This window comes from Homo sapiens, chromosome 6, assembly GCF_000001405.40.
Source record: "Homo sapiens chromosome 6, GRCh38.p14 Primary Assembly".
Lineage (NCBI taxonomy): Eukaryota > Metazoa > Chordata > Mammalia > Primates > Hominidae > Homo > Homo sapiens.
In genome coordinates, this window is record NC_000006.12 from 12,847,239 (window position 1) to 12,863,870 (window position 16,632).

The window sequence follows — 16,632 nt, forward strand, 5'->3', positions numbered from 1 at the left end:
ATTTTTAACACCAGCATTATATATGTATATGTATAAATATACAGATATAGATAGGTAGGTAGGTAGATAGATACGGATAAATAATAGCCACTCACTATTTGTAAACTAAAGATTCAGCAATCTCATCTATGACAAAAGAGATGAGTCAAAAACCAAGAAACAAACTCTAAAGGTCTTTGAGTAGTCAACTTATATGACACAAAGCTCATTTATCTTAAGCACAGTGCTTCTCAATACTTACTGAGAATCTATGAATGTTAATTGACATATAAATCCAACACATTTGGTTATTAGTATTGATTTTAGTATTAGTATTAATATTTGTAGTGGCTAGAAACTGTTAGCCCAAAGAAAACAGAAAAACTATGAAAACAATTATACTACCTCAATGAGAACAGCAGCTTGCAGCCATCTAGTATAAGAAAAAAATTACTGAATACATCCCAAGATGTTTCAGTGGCACAGTATCCTAATTAAGATTCATGGTAATAAACTATTTAAAAAGTGCTACTTTACATTCAAGATGCTGTGTTTCCAAAGGCAGGAAAACAGCTAATATATCTTGAGATGTTTCCATCCAAAATTAATTTTAAAAAATTAAAGCTAAGGCTTAAAGGAACAAAACTCCTCAAAATTTGCCCCTTTGAAACGATTTCTATCTCACTGATACCAGTTAACTGAGGTTTTGAAAATATTCACTATTTCCGGTATATTATCTTTTATTTGAACTTTGATATATCTCACCATCTTGATGTGGTTAGAAGAACAGCCTTTCCTGAGACTGCAGCTGATCATTGGGCAGTGCTAGAATTGAACATCATAAAGAAGAAAAGGAAAATAAATGATTCATGATAACCAAATATTATCCTTGATGCCATGCACCGAGATTTTCATTAATCCATCCATAACTAGGCTAGATCAATAGCACGTATTGGTTATAAACAGAGTAACTAACCAACCCACACAAGAAATCAAACCTGTATGCTAACATTTTTATCTTAACCATCAGAAATGATCACTCGCTAATGGAAGATCAAGATTTGTCCATTTTCTCTGACATACTCTTACCAATATACATATATGTGCATATACATATGTTAAACTACAAGATTTTCTATAAACACAAACACACATAAGGGTGCTTGCTCATTTTTCTTTTCTCCTACTATCATTTTTTCCCAAGCTTCTTTAGGCTCCATTAGACTGAATCAAGGCGCCCATCTCATTTCTATTAAAAATCTAATGTAACTCGTAGAGACTTTTATTTGGAAATGTAATAGCATTTCATCTAGAAAGGAGGGGAGGGGCATTTGATAAAAGGTTTCTCAAGACAATTGGTTTGCAACATGCCTGAAGATTATCTCACTTTAAATGACATTTAATAGGTTTTTCTTCCACATCCTGATAAACATTTCAGTGTTACTGATCACTTTGAAAATAAGACTTGGGAACTTGAGCAAAAATGAGGAAAATAGCTAGGTTTCTGGTTCTGAATGTTTTTTCAAATGGCTTTCTGCTGTCAGAGAACACTAAATGAACTCCCCTGAGAAAGAAATCTACCTCAATTTAAAGGAAGCAAATCTTTTTTTCTTTTTTTAAGAAAGGGTTGTAAATTCTTGGATTAATGGCTGACAGTCAAAGGACATTCATTAGAACCACTAAAATGCCAAGGAAATCAGACTTTTTTTTTTTTCACTTCTCAAAGCACATTTAATCTTATTGCCTCCCAGTATCAATGATTGTTCTTTCTTGAATTTCAAAGACAGGCACTATTCTTTTTAAACAGAAGTCAAATGACTTTGCAGATGGCACCTGATTCATCTCACAGTGCAAATTCTCTAAAGGTGACATGGATGCCCCCTCTCCCCAGCAGGAAGTCTCCAGTGTGGCAAGAGTTAGATGCTGCAGTTTTCCCAACGTAAGAGCAATGACAGAAGCTCCCTAGGAGCGTGTGAAAGAATGAGCCAATTAGGAAGGCCTTGCCGCAATGCCAGTAGTTCTGGAAGACTTAAGTGCAGAGCCCTCACAATTAACAATAAAGCGCTTAGGCTTCAGTGTGGTGAGGTCCCACGTCGGTGATTCGGTCAGCCAGACCTTCGTTTCCTTGTATGAACACATATACTTGCCAGGAAGAGAAGGTACCCTATGTCGGGGAATGTGAGGATGCTGAGTTGTCTGCAACCCCCTGTGGAAAGCAGCTTCAGGCCGAACTCTTTGGAGACATGAATGATGGGTCTGATTGGAAGAGAAAAAATAGTCTAGATAGCACACAGTAATGGTAGTGGACAGGCTGAGCATGTAGGTCAGACAGCCTGGGGCTGGCACAGAGTCCATATGGGCGGGAAGTGCAAGAGCTAGGGAATGTTGAGATTTTGCTGATGTTATGATTTCATTGCTTTGCAGAACCGATGAGGCCTGGCATAGTTCAGGTCCCATGAACTATGATGTCATAAACCATCATCTGTGCAGCATTTAGAAGTTTTCCCGTCCCCCAGATAATGAAATAATAATGAGGGAAATGTCTTTCTTCTTTTTCCCCCAGAATTCCTAGGAATCTTTGAAATATAAAACAAAAATACACAATTCATACCCCCAATAATTATATTAACTAAACCATTAATTAATTATTAATTAAACCTTACAGTAGGAGGTTTTAATTTTCAGAAAATAAATAAAGCCATATTTATTCAAAATTAGGTGAGTCATACACTGCTTTGTCACTGAGATTTCCTGGGTGACTCCATGCTACAAAAATTAATGCCTGCTTCTTTTTCCTGCTCTGGCTTTGAGATCTTATAGGATTTCTTGTCTTCTATGTCCTTTCTCCTGCCATGTCATGGTATTTGACTGCATGGACTGAAACTTGGAATCGTCATGAATTCTTTTTTCCCTCTTGCCCTGGGCAAATTTTACCTCTTTATCTCTACTCCCTATTCTTATCCCAAAGCCTATGCCAGATATTGGATCTCCTTCTTCCGTCACAACTTCCAAGAAGCCACCAGAATAACAATGGTTACTGCTGCCCTAGCCTACAGTCTAACTCCTACCTCATCTACATTCACCACAGATACTGCTGATCGATGCCTGCACTCTTGCCCATCAGGCCCGCGTGCAGATGCAAAGTCCTCCTTCACTCTTGCTCCAGGGAGCCACTGCTAGTTAATCAACTTTGCACACAAGATGAAATTTTTTGCCATCCCTTCTGTATGGCATTGCCTGGGGAAGGGAAACTTTACTTCTTCATCATTTGTTCTCACTTTAGCAGAAAATCACTCTTTCCCAGTTGGGTCTCCAGTAGCCTTTGGCCTCATTCAGTCTTGGTATTTGTTTCCCAGTACTGCTGTAGCAAAGTACCAAAATCTGAGTGGCTTAAAATCATAGAAATGTATTGTCTGAGTCTGAAACCAAGGTGTCAGCAGGGCCATGCTCTATCTAATGGCTCTAGGGGAGGAGCCTCCCTTGCCTCTTCCAGCTTCTGATGTTTGGCAGTCCTTGGCATTTCTTGGCTTGTAAATGCATCATCCCAGTTACATGGCTGTCTTTTCCCTGTGTGTCTTCACGCCCTCTTCCTGCACGTGCCTCTGTGCCTCTTCTTCTCTCCTTATAAGAACACCAATTGTATTGGATCAGGTCCCACCTTCATGACCTCAACTTAACTCCCTTAAGTCTCCCAAGACCCTGTTTCCAAATAAGATCACATTCCAAGGTACGGGAATTCAGGACTTCAATATGTCTTCTTGGGGTGGGGGACATAATTAAACCCATAACTATATTCCAGTGTTTTCATACACCTATGTAGTATATCTAAATCTTCCCAATTTTAAGAGAGTTCGTGTGTTCACACATCTGAAAAATTCTGCCTCACCCTGATTCCACAAACTGGACATAATTATTGCAAACTCATACAAAGGCAATAGATTTAGAAAATCGGACATGTCCTTGGCCAGACTGATCAACAAGAATTGTACCAGGGAAGTGGGTGCTGAGCAATGGATGCAACAAGTATAAAGTGAGGCTTTGAACTTTAAATAGCCTAGTTCAAGGGAGGCTTGGGAAACAATACACAGGCGAACATTTAAATAACAATCTGGGACATTAATAAGGGAATGCAAGGAAATGCAGTGCTGTTGAGAATAGCAGTGGGTTTTGATGGCGTTAGAAAATGTTACCACAAAGGAATCCAACAATACTCAGATTTTGCCTTTCAATCAGCCAACAGCCTACAGATTTCCTGAGGGAAACAGACATGAGTAATAACAGTCTAATGCAATAAAAGGTTCCATTTTATCCTTAATTACGCAAGCACCCAGTAACTCATCATGCACAGCAATAGGAAAGCTGGGTTGGAATAGAGTCCGGCATATATGTAATTACACAGACGTCACATGCTTCTACTTTGATTTCCCAAATCCTTAATAATCTAATAGATTCTACATATTCTAAAGCAGTTGGAATTTTAAACTCTGAATTTTCCTTTAAAAAATAAAAATCTTACACAATCAGGCATTGCTCTGCCGAATGTTTTCTTTTGTCATGTATTCCATGATCTTTGGTACTACCACTGAAAAACAACATTTTTATTTTATTATTTTATTTTATTTATTATTATTATTTAAGACAGAGTCTTACTCTGTTACCCAGACTGGAGTGCAGTGGTGTGATTTCAGCTCATTGCAACCTCCACCTCCTGGGTTCAAGCGATTCTCCTACCTCAACCTCCTGAGTAGCTGAGATTACAGGTACGCGCCACCACACCCAGCTAACTTTTGTATTTTTAGTAGAGACAGGGTTTTGCCATGTTGGCCAGGCTGGTCTCAAACTCCTGACCTCAGGGGATTCCCCCTCCTTGGCCTCCCAAAGTGCTAGGATTACAGGCGTGAGCCACCACGCTAGGCCAAAAAACATTTTTATTATGTTCTAATATGTGGTAAGAGGTATTGAGGCCCTAAGAGAAATAATTGTGAAGCCAATTTAAAGTACCAGTAAATTGACGAGGGCCAAGCAACGTCCCAGAGCTGGGGTGACCCATGCCTTTCTCTTTTTCTTCCTCCCTATCCTATAAAAACAAACACATCTAACAACAGAAAACAACAAAAATCTTACCAAAGAAAGTCATAATCTCAATCAGAAGAATCCAACTTAAGAAATAATAGTACCAGACATAGAAATATGGAGGAAGGCAGAACGGGATGGTACAGCAGAAGTCAGGAACCAGATTCTGAATCTGCCGTTACCCAAAGTGGCAGAATTGAGCAAGACAGCTCACTTTCCTGGGACTCCGTTTCTTTCACCTGTCAAACAACAGAGTCAGACCAGATGATTTCTGCAATCTCTTTATATTTATATTTATATTTACTGATATATTTCTAGGCAGCATACAAAAACCCTGAAAATCCCCCTAGGTCTGTGGCCTAAAGCCTTCCAATATCCTGGAAAGCTTTCTGTGATATATGCTTCTCAATGGATCACAAAAGCATACAATCATTGCTGGTAGGAAATGAAAAAAGTAAACGTTGCTCAGAAAGTATTCAAAGAGGGCACTGATGTTACCAAAAAATCATTCCTCACTCTGATAGTTTATGACAGCAAAGCTTATAGAACTTGCTTTTAGGATACAAACTCCTTATCCAAGCATGCTGAAATCATGGCAATCTCTGGAAGTCATTGACTCTCGGATCTGGTGAGTACCCAAATTCATCACCTTCCTTTATCAGCACTGGGTATAATGCATCCTATGTGAAGAAATTGTAACCTAAGTCCTAAAATCTCTAGGTGCCTTCGCTCCTATGAGAACCTTTGCTATCTTATTGCAACTTGAAGCATCGATAATCCAGCCTTACTTCTAACCTAAGTCTCCAGCACTGCCTATTTCAATTCAATTTATTCAAAAGGCACATATTAAGTACCAACTGTCAAGAAACAAACATTGTAAAATGTATAAAATTGGATAAAAAACAATCCTGGGCTCAAAAAGTTAGTCTCTTGAAGAAATGGTAAACCTACGTCACATGTGCTGCCACTGCCCTGCTCCAGTGTCCCTTGCAGACTTTTTTTCTTTCCTATTCATGGACTCAGCCTCAGAATCTCCAACGAAACACCTAGACAGGCAAAAGAAGCTGATCAGATTTGGCACAGGAGATAGGATTTATTTGTTAACTCTGGTTGGCATGTCACGTCATGAGTCAAGACAATTTTTTAAATGCTAAGTAGAGATTCAAATAATGTGCTGAGAGAGTGAAAATGAAGGACAATTTATTCTGAATGAAGGGAACAGAGAGGGTGTATTAGTCCGTTCTCACACTGCTAATAAAGACATACCCAAGACTGGGTAATTTATAAAGGAAAGAGGTTTGATTGACTCATGGTTCCCCATTGCTGGGGAAGCCTCAGGAAACTTACAATCATGGTGCAAGGCTCCTCTTCACAGGTTGGCAGGAGGAAGAATGAGTACCCGGTGAAGGGGGAAGCCCCTTATAAACCCATCAGATCTTGTGAGAACTAACTCACTATCATGAGAACAGGATGGGGGAAACTGCCCCCCTGATTCAGTTATCTCTACCTGGTCCCTCTCAGGACATGTGGGGATTATGGGAGCTGTATACGATTCAAGATGAGATTTGGGTGGGGACACAGCCAAACTGTATCAGAGGGCTTCATGGATGAGAAGGTACTTACAAAAGACTTTACAAAATTAATATGATGTCAATAGGTAGATGTTTAGGGCCTGAATATTCCTGACTGGGACAAAAGCAGAAACAAAGACATATAGGCGTTGTCAATACGTATAGGTGGAACTACATGTATTGACAACCCCAGGTGACTGGGTTATGGGTGTATATAAGGCTATAGTGGGAAGCAAAACGTAACCTAGAGTTATGCCATGAAAAACCTTCAATGTCTTAGGAAATTTAACTTTTTATTCTGAGATGATGGAAATCCTTTTGAGGGAAAGTAGCAATGTACTACTTTGATTGATTCATTTAAAATGGAACAATAAATGCCCAAAGTACCCATTTCTCCAAAGAGCTGCCAAGCACAAGGTTTCTCCAAAATCTGCTTAAAGCTTTGTCATGGAAATGTGTATGTTTCTTTTGATTTCATTCCCTCAGATGTAGGGTAGTAGGCCAGGCTAATAGGATGTATTTTTGGTTGAACAACTTGTCTCAGAGGATGTTTGTACCTTGTTAGCATTTTCCCTTATTTCTATCAAATCAGGATAGAATGCTTTGTTGTGTACCTAAGGAAATATCACCGTTAGATGGATGAATTTTTGTCCAGGGACTTCCTGAATACCTAATTCTTAAAAACTTTGCTCAGCCTCAGCTTCTACACAGCCAAAGAAACTCAACAGAGTAAACAGGCAACCTACAGAATGGGAGAAATTATTTGCAAACTATGCATCCAACAAGGGTCTAATATCCAGAATCTATAAGGAACTTACACTAATCAACAAGAGAAAAACAAACAAGCCCATTAAAAAGTGGGCAAAGGATGGGAACAAACACTTCTCAAAAGACATAGAAGAGACCAAGAAACATATGAAACAATGCTCAACATTTTGACTTGCATCAGAGAGATGCAAGCCAAAACTACAATGGGATAGTATCTCACACCAGTCAGAATGGCTATTATTAAAAAGTCAAAAAATGTCAGCTGTTGGCAAGGTTGTAGAGAAAAGGGAATATACGTTGTTGGTGGGAACGCAAATTAGTACAGCCCCTGTGGAAAGCAGTTTGCAGATTTCTCAAACAACTAAAAATACATAGAACTACAATTTGACCCAGCAATCCCGTTAGTGGGTGTACTCTCAAAGGAAATTAATCATTCTACCAAAAGGACACATGTACTCATATTTATCATAACATTACTCACAATAGTAAAGACATGTAATCAACCTAGGTGCCTATCAATGGTGGACTGGATAAAGAAAATGTGGTATACATACACCATGAAATACTACACAGCCATAAAAAACCAATTGGCCGGGTGCCATAGCCCATGCCTGTAATCCTAGCATGCTGGGAGGCCTAGGCAGGAGGATGGCTTGACTCCAGGAGTTTGAGACTAGCTGGATGTGGTGGTGCATGTCTGTAGTTCCAGCTTTTCAGGAGGCTGAGGCCAGAGGATCTCTTCAGTCCAGAGGTTTGAGGCTGCAGTGAGTTATGATTATACCAATGCACCCTAGCCTGGGAGACAGGACGAGACCCTGTCTCTATGAGACAAAAAACAAACCCTAAAATTATGTCTTTTGCAGCAATACTGATGCGGTTGGAGGCCATTATCCTAAGCGAATTAACACAGAAACAGAAAATAAAATATCGCATGTTCTCATTTATAAGTGGGAGCTAAATTTTGGGTTCACAGGGTCATAAAGATGGGAAAAACAGACACTGGGAACTCCAGAAGAAGGGAGGGAGGAAGGGAGGTAGTGGCTGAAAATCTTCCTATTGGGTATTATGTTCACTATCTGGGCAATGGGATTAATAGAAGCCCAAACCTCAGCATAAAACAATGTACCCTTGTAACAAGCCTGACCATGTACCCCCGAATCTAAAATAAAATGGAAAGTTTAAAAAAATTAAAATAAAAATATTGGCTCAGAATCTGAAAATGTCATAAGAACAGTATTACCTGAGAATAAAAACATTAATTAAAGATTTATTACTTTGGTTACTTCCTGGCAAAATGGCTTAGAGTGAATCCTGGTTCTTTTAATTCCAGAGCCTTACAGCCCAGGGCATGTAAACTTTAAAGTTAATAGTCACAAACAAAAGCTGCTAAATTGGAAGAAGATTGTGACTAAAGGTAACATATATCTTTAATAATGATGGTTTTAAGAGAGGCAAGCAGTGGAAAAGCTCAGTGAATCTAAATTCAACTACAGCCCTATCTTCTTGGGACCCTAGGGGAGTAGAATTGTTTGGTCCATTCAACTCATTAAGTCACTGTCTACTTAAGCTTAAATCTAAAATTCACCCTTTCTTTTTTTCTTTTCTTTTTCTTTCTTTCTTTCTTTCTTTTTTTTTTTTTCTGAGACAGGAGTTTCGCTCTGTCGCCCAAGCTGGAGTGCAGTGGCGCGATCTCGGCTTACTGCAAGCTCCGCCTCCCAGGCTCAAGTGATTCTCCTGCCTCAGCCTCCCAAGTAGCTGGGACTACAGGCACCCGCCACCACGCCAGGGTAATTTTTTGTATTTTTAGTAGATGCGGTGTTTCACCATGTTAGCCAGGATGGTCTTCTCGATCTCCTGACCTAGTGATCCGTCCACCTCAGCCTTCCAAAGTGCTGGGATTACAGGCGTGAGCCACTGTGCCTGGCCCAAATTCATCCTTTCTTAAATTATCTGAAAAATAATTGCAGGACCAAATGCAAATCTATGATCAACCAAATATACAGGAGTCCTGTGATTACAGCGAATCCCACTTCCTGCTGGGTTTTTACTATAACCATCACCAGCCCTAAGGCTTTCAAGATCCTGCGTTCCCTGATCGGCTGTTCACTCCAACCAGCTCTCAGCAGCTGTGGTGAAAGAACGGTGATATGCCCTTGGCCAGTCTAAACAAAATGCTGGTTTTTATTTGAGAATTAAGCCAGAAGTACCCAGAGGATTGTCATCTTCACTAATGACCAGAGACAGAGACCGTGTTTTCTTGAACAATTTGCCTGCAGAAAAGGACCCTGCAGCGGCAAGGAAAATCTCAGAATCCTCAGCCCTTGAAAATTGAGGCTTCGGTCATTTCCATTCTCTTTTGAAACGGGGGGTTATTCTGTTTGAGGAATATTGTGTTTCAGATAGATTCAAACAACCAACTAAAAAAAGTATGACTCCTGAACACAGAACCTGGAAAAAACAATTTCCTCTTCTTAATAAGGACCTCTGTGTATGTAGTAAATCAAATGCTCATTTTCTTCACAGGGTTGTTTGTCTTTATTTTTCCTATGAGGTGTTTTCTGCCTGCGGGCCACAGTGCAATGGGAATTTATTCCTTAGATAAAAATTAGGTCAAATGTTATTCTACAAGAAGGATCTAAAATTTACACTTAAAGTGAGACTAATATACTTGCATGCTCATTAGAAAAAAATCAACATTCTCGTCAGGCGCGGTGGTTCATGCCTGTAGTCCCGGCACTGTGGGAGGCCGAGGCCAGAGGATCACGAGGTCAAGAGATGGAGACCATCCTGGCCAACATGGCTGTCTTTACTAAAAATACAAAAATTAGCTGTGTGTGGTGGTGCGTGCCTTTATTCCCAGCTACTAGGGAGGCTGAGGGAAGAGAATTGCTTGAACCCTGGAGGCTGAGGTTGCAGTGAGCTGAGATCGCGCTACTGCACTCCAGCCTGGGGACAGAATAAGACTCCATCTTAAAAAAAAAAAAAAATTCTCCCAGGCAGAAATAGCACTCATTGGTGATGAAGACGATCTTGCTGAATGAACTAACAGTATGAATTTGGGTTATTTTGTTGTTGCTGCTGTTGTTGTTGTTTTCTGTCACCAAAGCCTTGGACTGTACTTTTCAGCACTTCATCAGGATTAATGTCTCCCAGTACTAGTAATGATTCTCCCACCCTTAGGTAAAGAAATGAGACTCAATCGCCTGGCTTCAACCAAAGTCTACAGAAATGAAACAAGGGATTTGTAGTCACAAGATCTGGGTTTAAAGTCGGGAATTTACCACTTATTCACAGTCATCTTAGTGAGGTCATTTCAGTCATTCAGCAGACATGTATTGAGTGTTTCATCCATGCCAGATACCGTTCCAGGCATTTGAGAGGTAAAGATTACAGATATAGCCTGTTCTCGGTAAGTTTACGGTAGAGCAGAGAAACAGATATGCAATCTCCCTGCAACATGAAAGTTAAAATAATGTAAATTGCAGAAGTTGGAGTGCAAGGCACACAATGAGTTTGGCAGAAGGCTGGGAAGGCCTTTAAGGGACCTCACGAGGTGACATTTATATTGACAATGTCTCCAGCAGTCTGCATCTGACCTTTATTGTTAGAGGCACAGAAATTCTTTCTGGTCAGGGTCCCAGTGCACATCAGGCTTGCGGAGGCTGACGCTTGCTGATTACACTCTCAAAAGGCTGAAATGTACAAATCATAAAACCAATTTGTTAATTTAGAGGTAAATATATAACTGTCCAGTGCCCTAGTTATTTACACTTTCAGGTTTAATTTCTCATCTGTCAACATAGCAATAATGATAATAGTGGCACATTTGCTGTATACTTCATAAGAATGTGGCTAAGTTTGGAGATAAAGTCTAGCTATAGGTTGGGGTGCAGTGGCTCACACCTGTAATCCCCGCACTTTGGAAGGCCTAGGTGGGAGGATTGCTTGAGGCCAGGAGTTCAATGCAAGCCTGGGTAACATAGTGAGACCCCCATCTCTACAAAAAAAAATTTAAAAATTGCAGGACATGGTGGTGTGTGCCTATAGTCCCAGCTACTTGGTAGGCTGAGGTGGGAGGATCCCTTTTGCCCAAGAGTTTCAGTATGCAGTGAGTTATGATCATGCCACTGTACTCGACTGCTTTTATTTTTCTTAAAAAAAAGAGCCAACACATACATACACACACACACACACACACCACACACACACACACACAAAGTGCAGCTATCAAAACATCAACTATTCATTGAGTGTTTAATTTGCATTTTTTCTATTGTTAAGATGTTCAGTGTTCTTCTTCAATGTTAAGATGTGGATATTATGATGTCAGTTTCATAAGGGAGAAAACTAAAGCTTGGCGAATTTAAATAGCTTAATCAAGACCAGACAATTAAGATTCACATCCAAGATTTGAACCTGGCTGCCTTATTCCAAAACCTGTGGTGTTGGACCCTAAATATACAATTTCTCATGAAATGATAAAAATAAATCTGAAAGAGCTTTAGGAGCTGCAAAGACCTTTACAAACATGACTTAATAGGATGTGGCAAGAAACAAGGGTAAGCCAATGAAAATAATGGCTGGTTTTAAACCCTACTATCACAGGTTACTGGCCATTCTTTTTTAATACCCTACACATACTTTTTTTCCTAATGAAATATACAGCACTTGGGATATAACCATAAAAGAGCTGGTCAACATGCTCCATATCAGCGAATGATACTTACAGCTAATGTGTGTATTATAAATATAGTATATGTACACTATGTGTATGTAGCAATTTATAGTTTTTCTTTCCTATACATATTGGTAGTTTTCACCATGGCTTGAATGTCTCAAGCATATTTCATGAACTGAATATTGTACCAATGATGCTATGCTAAGTGATATCTAAATTTGACACTTATGATGGGTTTTATGCAGGTAAAAGTCCAGAGGCAATGAGAAAAGGTAGCAGTTGAGGATTTGAAGGGTTTTTTAAGTAGCAGCAGCAAACACATCTCAAGAACCGTGTGTGCAAGGTTGAGACTTTGAGAGCAGGTCTATGAACTAGGCCATCACCAAGTAGCCTGCCTGTCCCCCAAATGCTCACTGAGCTCTCTTCTTGATTAGGGATGATACCTCATCTTTGTACCCTTGCCAAAAACCAGTGTGTTCAACATCATTAACTAACATGGGCTCTAATACATGAGGACAATAGATGTTAATTCCAAATACACCAGAAATTCTCCAGAGAAAGCCTGTAAAATGGTGCCAATATTCTGCAGAAGGTTTTTAGAGCTAGGCGGCACCAACCCCACTAAGGTACCATTGCGCTTCCTGTAAAAATTCTTAACTAATGGCTTAAGAAGGACATCTTCATCATCATCATCATCATTATTATTATTATTATTATTAAGTTCTGGGATACATGTGCAGAACGTGCAGGTTTGTTACATAGGTATACATGTGCCATCGTGGTTTGCTACACCCATCAACCTGTCATCTACATTAGGTATTTCTCCTATTGCTATCCCTCCCCTTATCCCCCACTCCCTGACAGGCCCCAGTGTGTGATATTCCCCTCGGTGCCCATATGTTCCCATTGTTCAACTGCCACTTATGAACATTTATGTGGTGTTTCGTTTTCTGTTCCTATGTTAGTTTGCTGAGAATGATGGTTTCCAGCTTCATCCATGTCCGTGCAAAGGACATGAACTCATTCTTTTTTATGGTTGCAGAGTATTCCATGGTGTATGTGCCACATGTTCTTTATCCATTCTACCATTGATGGGCATTTAGGTTGGTTCCAAGTCTTTGCTATTGTGAATAGTGCTGCAATAAACATACATGTGCATGCGTCTTTATAGTAGAATGATTTATAATCATTTGGGTATATACCCAGTAATGGAATTGCTGGGTCAAATGGTATTTCTGGTGCTAGATCCTTGAAGAATCACCACACTGTCTTCCACAATGGTTGAACTAATTTACACTCCCACCAACAGTGTAAAAGCATTCCTGTTTCTCCACATCCTTTCCAGCATCTGTTGTTTCCTGACTTTTTAATGATCGCCATTCTAACTGGTATGAGATGGTATCTCATTGTGGTTTTGATTTGCATTTCTCTAATGACCAGTGATGATGAGCTCTTTTTCATATGTTCGTTGGCCACATAAATGTCTTCTTTTGAAAAGTGTCTGTTCATATAAGAAGCATATCTTAAGTGTACTCTTCTTCCAAGGTTATGATATAAGGATCGCTTGACAATTACAAAATTCATTGCTGATGTATTATACAAACTCTACTAATTTTTATGGGCAAGTAAGGCAACACTATAAAGTGGTTTTATAATTTCACACCATCTTCAAAATGTCATTGCCCTGGACATGTGGTCCATAGACAGTGCCATCATAGTGGCCATGCCTTTCTTCCCAAAACACTCACACACAGTTTTTGATGTGTTATTGACTGACCAGTATTTCCTAAATAAATTAGTAATGAACTACCAAAATGTAAACATTTTTGGTTGTGTTGACATTTAATAGAGAACACACTTTGTTTATTCAGGGACTTCTCTTGAGCTGCAGGGACTTGCCTGTTAGGCAATTGTGAAGGTTCTAATTTCTTAAAAGGAAGGTTCCATAAAAAGGCTTAACAAGTCACCCAACGCTACTATTCAGAAGACAAAAGGGAGGTTGCACTGTGGTTTGCCAATCTGGATATTCTTTAGACTACACACAGGTCCTGTTAACCAAACAACAAAAACAATAATAATGCTAACTCCATAGTCTTCCTTAGACTAGGACATCCCATATATAAACCTCAAGTTAAGACAGGCATTTTAGCCATGTGTTGTAATGAAATATATGCTGAATTGAAAAGAGGAAACAGAGAAGCTAAACTCCTTTACCAATGACTTCCCATCACTGTATTGCTCTTCTGCTGTTAGAAGAAGAATAGCTCAATGAAACAGGGTAGAGGCTCTGTGCTGTAAGTAAAGGAGGAGCAGTGGTCTTCTTTGTTTTAAGTAAGTCAGTTATGAACATGTAACTTACAAAAGTTTGTCTTTTCAGTTCTTTTCTTTAGACTGCAATTAACCATACTCTCCCATATATAAATACTATGTAGGACATCTAACCGTATCATTTCTGGCAAGAAGTACACATTCTGACCAGAACCAAAAACTTGGCTCTATGCCAGAATAGCTCATTTCGATCAGTTCATTTTTTAAAAAAATTAACCTTGGAAATAAATACATATATACACAAAAACACACATATATGTAAATATATATGAATGGATGTGGGCATATATATTAGTATATGTAAAGTACCATGTATGTATTACAAAATGTGTGTGTGTGTATCATAAAACTATGATTACCATGTGTAAGTTACTATGCCAATAATTTATATGTTAGTGGAAGTAAAGGTGAGGGATCTACAGATAAATATTGTCTGTGCTTTTAAAGAAGCTTATATTCTAGGAAGAGAGACCCAACATGAATTCTAATATAATATGGAAGTGTGAAAGGAGAGAGCAGATGGAAGGAGAAAGACTTGTGTGTGGGCTGACTGTAAAGCAGCCAACCTCAATATTCCGTATGAAAACACCAGTATCGGGGTATAGGCAGCGACAGCACTTGTAAATTCAGCATGAGTTGCATGGTTGGCCAATGTTGGTGAGTCCTGTGGAGATCTGGAGCCAGAATGGCCTGACCTTGAGCACAGGGGATCTTACTGAGACATCAGGAAGAAATAATGCCCCTGGAGTCACAGTCTAGGTCAACTACAAAGCACTAGATCTGGGAGACTGTGAGGAAGGAGGAAACACACCTCTACTGTCCATCTCAGGGTCACCGGCATACACTGGGGGATGGCTCTTATCACAGAGATACTTACTGTTTAGGGCCACATCCCCCTCCCTTACAAGCCCGAGACAAGAGAAGAATGATCAGTGGTAAGTTACTACTCATACAGCCATTAAAAAGTTCAACAGAGTTTCAGCAAATACTTCTGCTTTTTCATACACCACAGGGATCATGATGCACCATGCTATTTGCGTTCAGCAGGGTCTAGAACAAGGAATAAAGGAAACTGAAAAAAAAGCACATCTTCTCTGATGTGTGTGCACATCTGAGAAACTTTTGGAACCAAAATTATATCTCCATGCACCTTCTACTACTAATTAATTACAGCAACCTACAATATATAAATAACCTTGTACCAGATTCTATATGTAAGAGTCTAGAAGTGGCCAGGAAGACCCCTCTGCAATTGAAGCAACTGTGTTGAATGAACAGAACAGTGACCTCTTCTTTGGAAGACATGGGTTCCACCCCAGAGCTACCCCTTACCACCTGTGTCCTTGAGCAAGTCATTGAAACTCTCAGAACCATAGCTTTTCACCTTTAGATGGGGACTCTGATAAATACATCACAATAATCCATTAAAGGGCTTTATGAACTCTACAGCTGTATAATTGTCAGCAGCATTTGCTAACATATACAGTATGTAGAGAAGTTATGAAGTTGGAGTCTTTACTGTATAGATTAGTCTGCTCAGGCTGCTGCAATGAAGTACCACAGACTGGGTAACTCAAAGAATAGATATTTATTTCTCACAGTTCTGAAGGCTGGATGTCTAAGATCAAGGTGCTAGCCCCCTTGAGGGCCCTCTTCCTGGCTTGCAGACAGCTGCCTTCTCATGGTATCCTCATGTGATGGAGACTGAGTAAGCTCTGTTCTCTCTTTCTCTTTCTATAAGGCACCAATACCATCAGGGGGATTCATGACCTCCTATAAACCTGATTAATTCCCAAAGGCCCCACCTCTAAATACTGTCATATTGGGGTTAGGACTTTTGAAGGAGACACAAACATTCAGTCCATAATACTGTAATATCGAGATGACTATTGTTTTTATTAAGCCAGCAGAAAACAGATAAGGAGGTGAGATTATGAAATGCCCTGAATGAGCTTTTCCCATTCAAAGGCCAGGATCTGATCACAGAAGTGCAGTCCTGGGAGGACATTCTCAGGAAATAAATGTGTTGTTTAAAAGTTAAGAAAATCAGGTTTGGGTAATCACAATTTCATGCTACAAAATAGGATGATAATTGATTTGACGCTTACCTTCTTCATAAAATGTATTTGTTATGTTGCCCAGCATTTCAAGTAATAAAACATCTTTGAAAATAAAATAAAAAGGCCCAGGTGATTTTTGTGTGTGTGTGTAGATCCACAGGAGCAACAATTGCTG

At 39.5% G+C, this 16,632-nt stretch overlaps 1 protein-coding gene across 13 annotated transcripts in view, besides 1 other annotated feature; it reads left to right on the forward strand.

Moving 5' to 3' along the window:
• The window catches only part of PHACTR1 (phosphatase and actin regulator 1), a 571,071-nt gene that overhangs the window by 130,472 nt on the left and 423,967 nt on the right, over positions 1-16,632 (forward strand). The gene's annotated exons all lie outside the window — the stretch shown is intronic.
• Positions 3,829-4,358: an enhancer, noted in NCBI's record as "OCT4-NANOG hESC enhancer chr6:12851299-12851828 (GRCh37/hg19 assembly coordinates)". NCBI's record gives its function as "activates a minimal SCP1, AML or CMV promoter by ChIP-STARR-seq in naive H9 embryonic stem cells {active_cell/tissue: H9 hESC(naive)}" and the evidence as "EXISTENCE:reporter gene assay evidence [ECO:0000049][PMID:30033119]".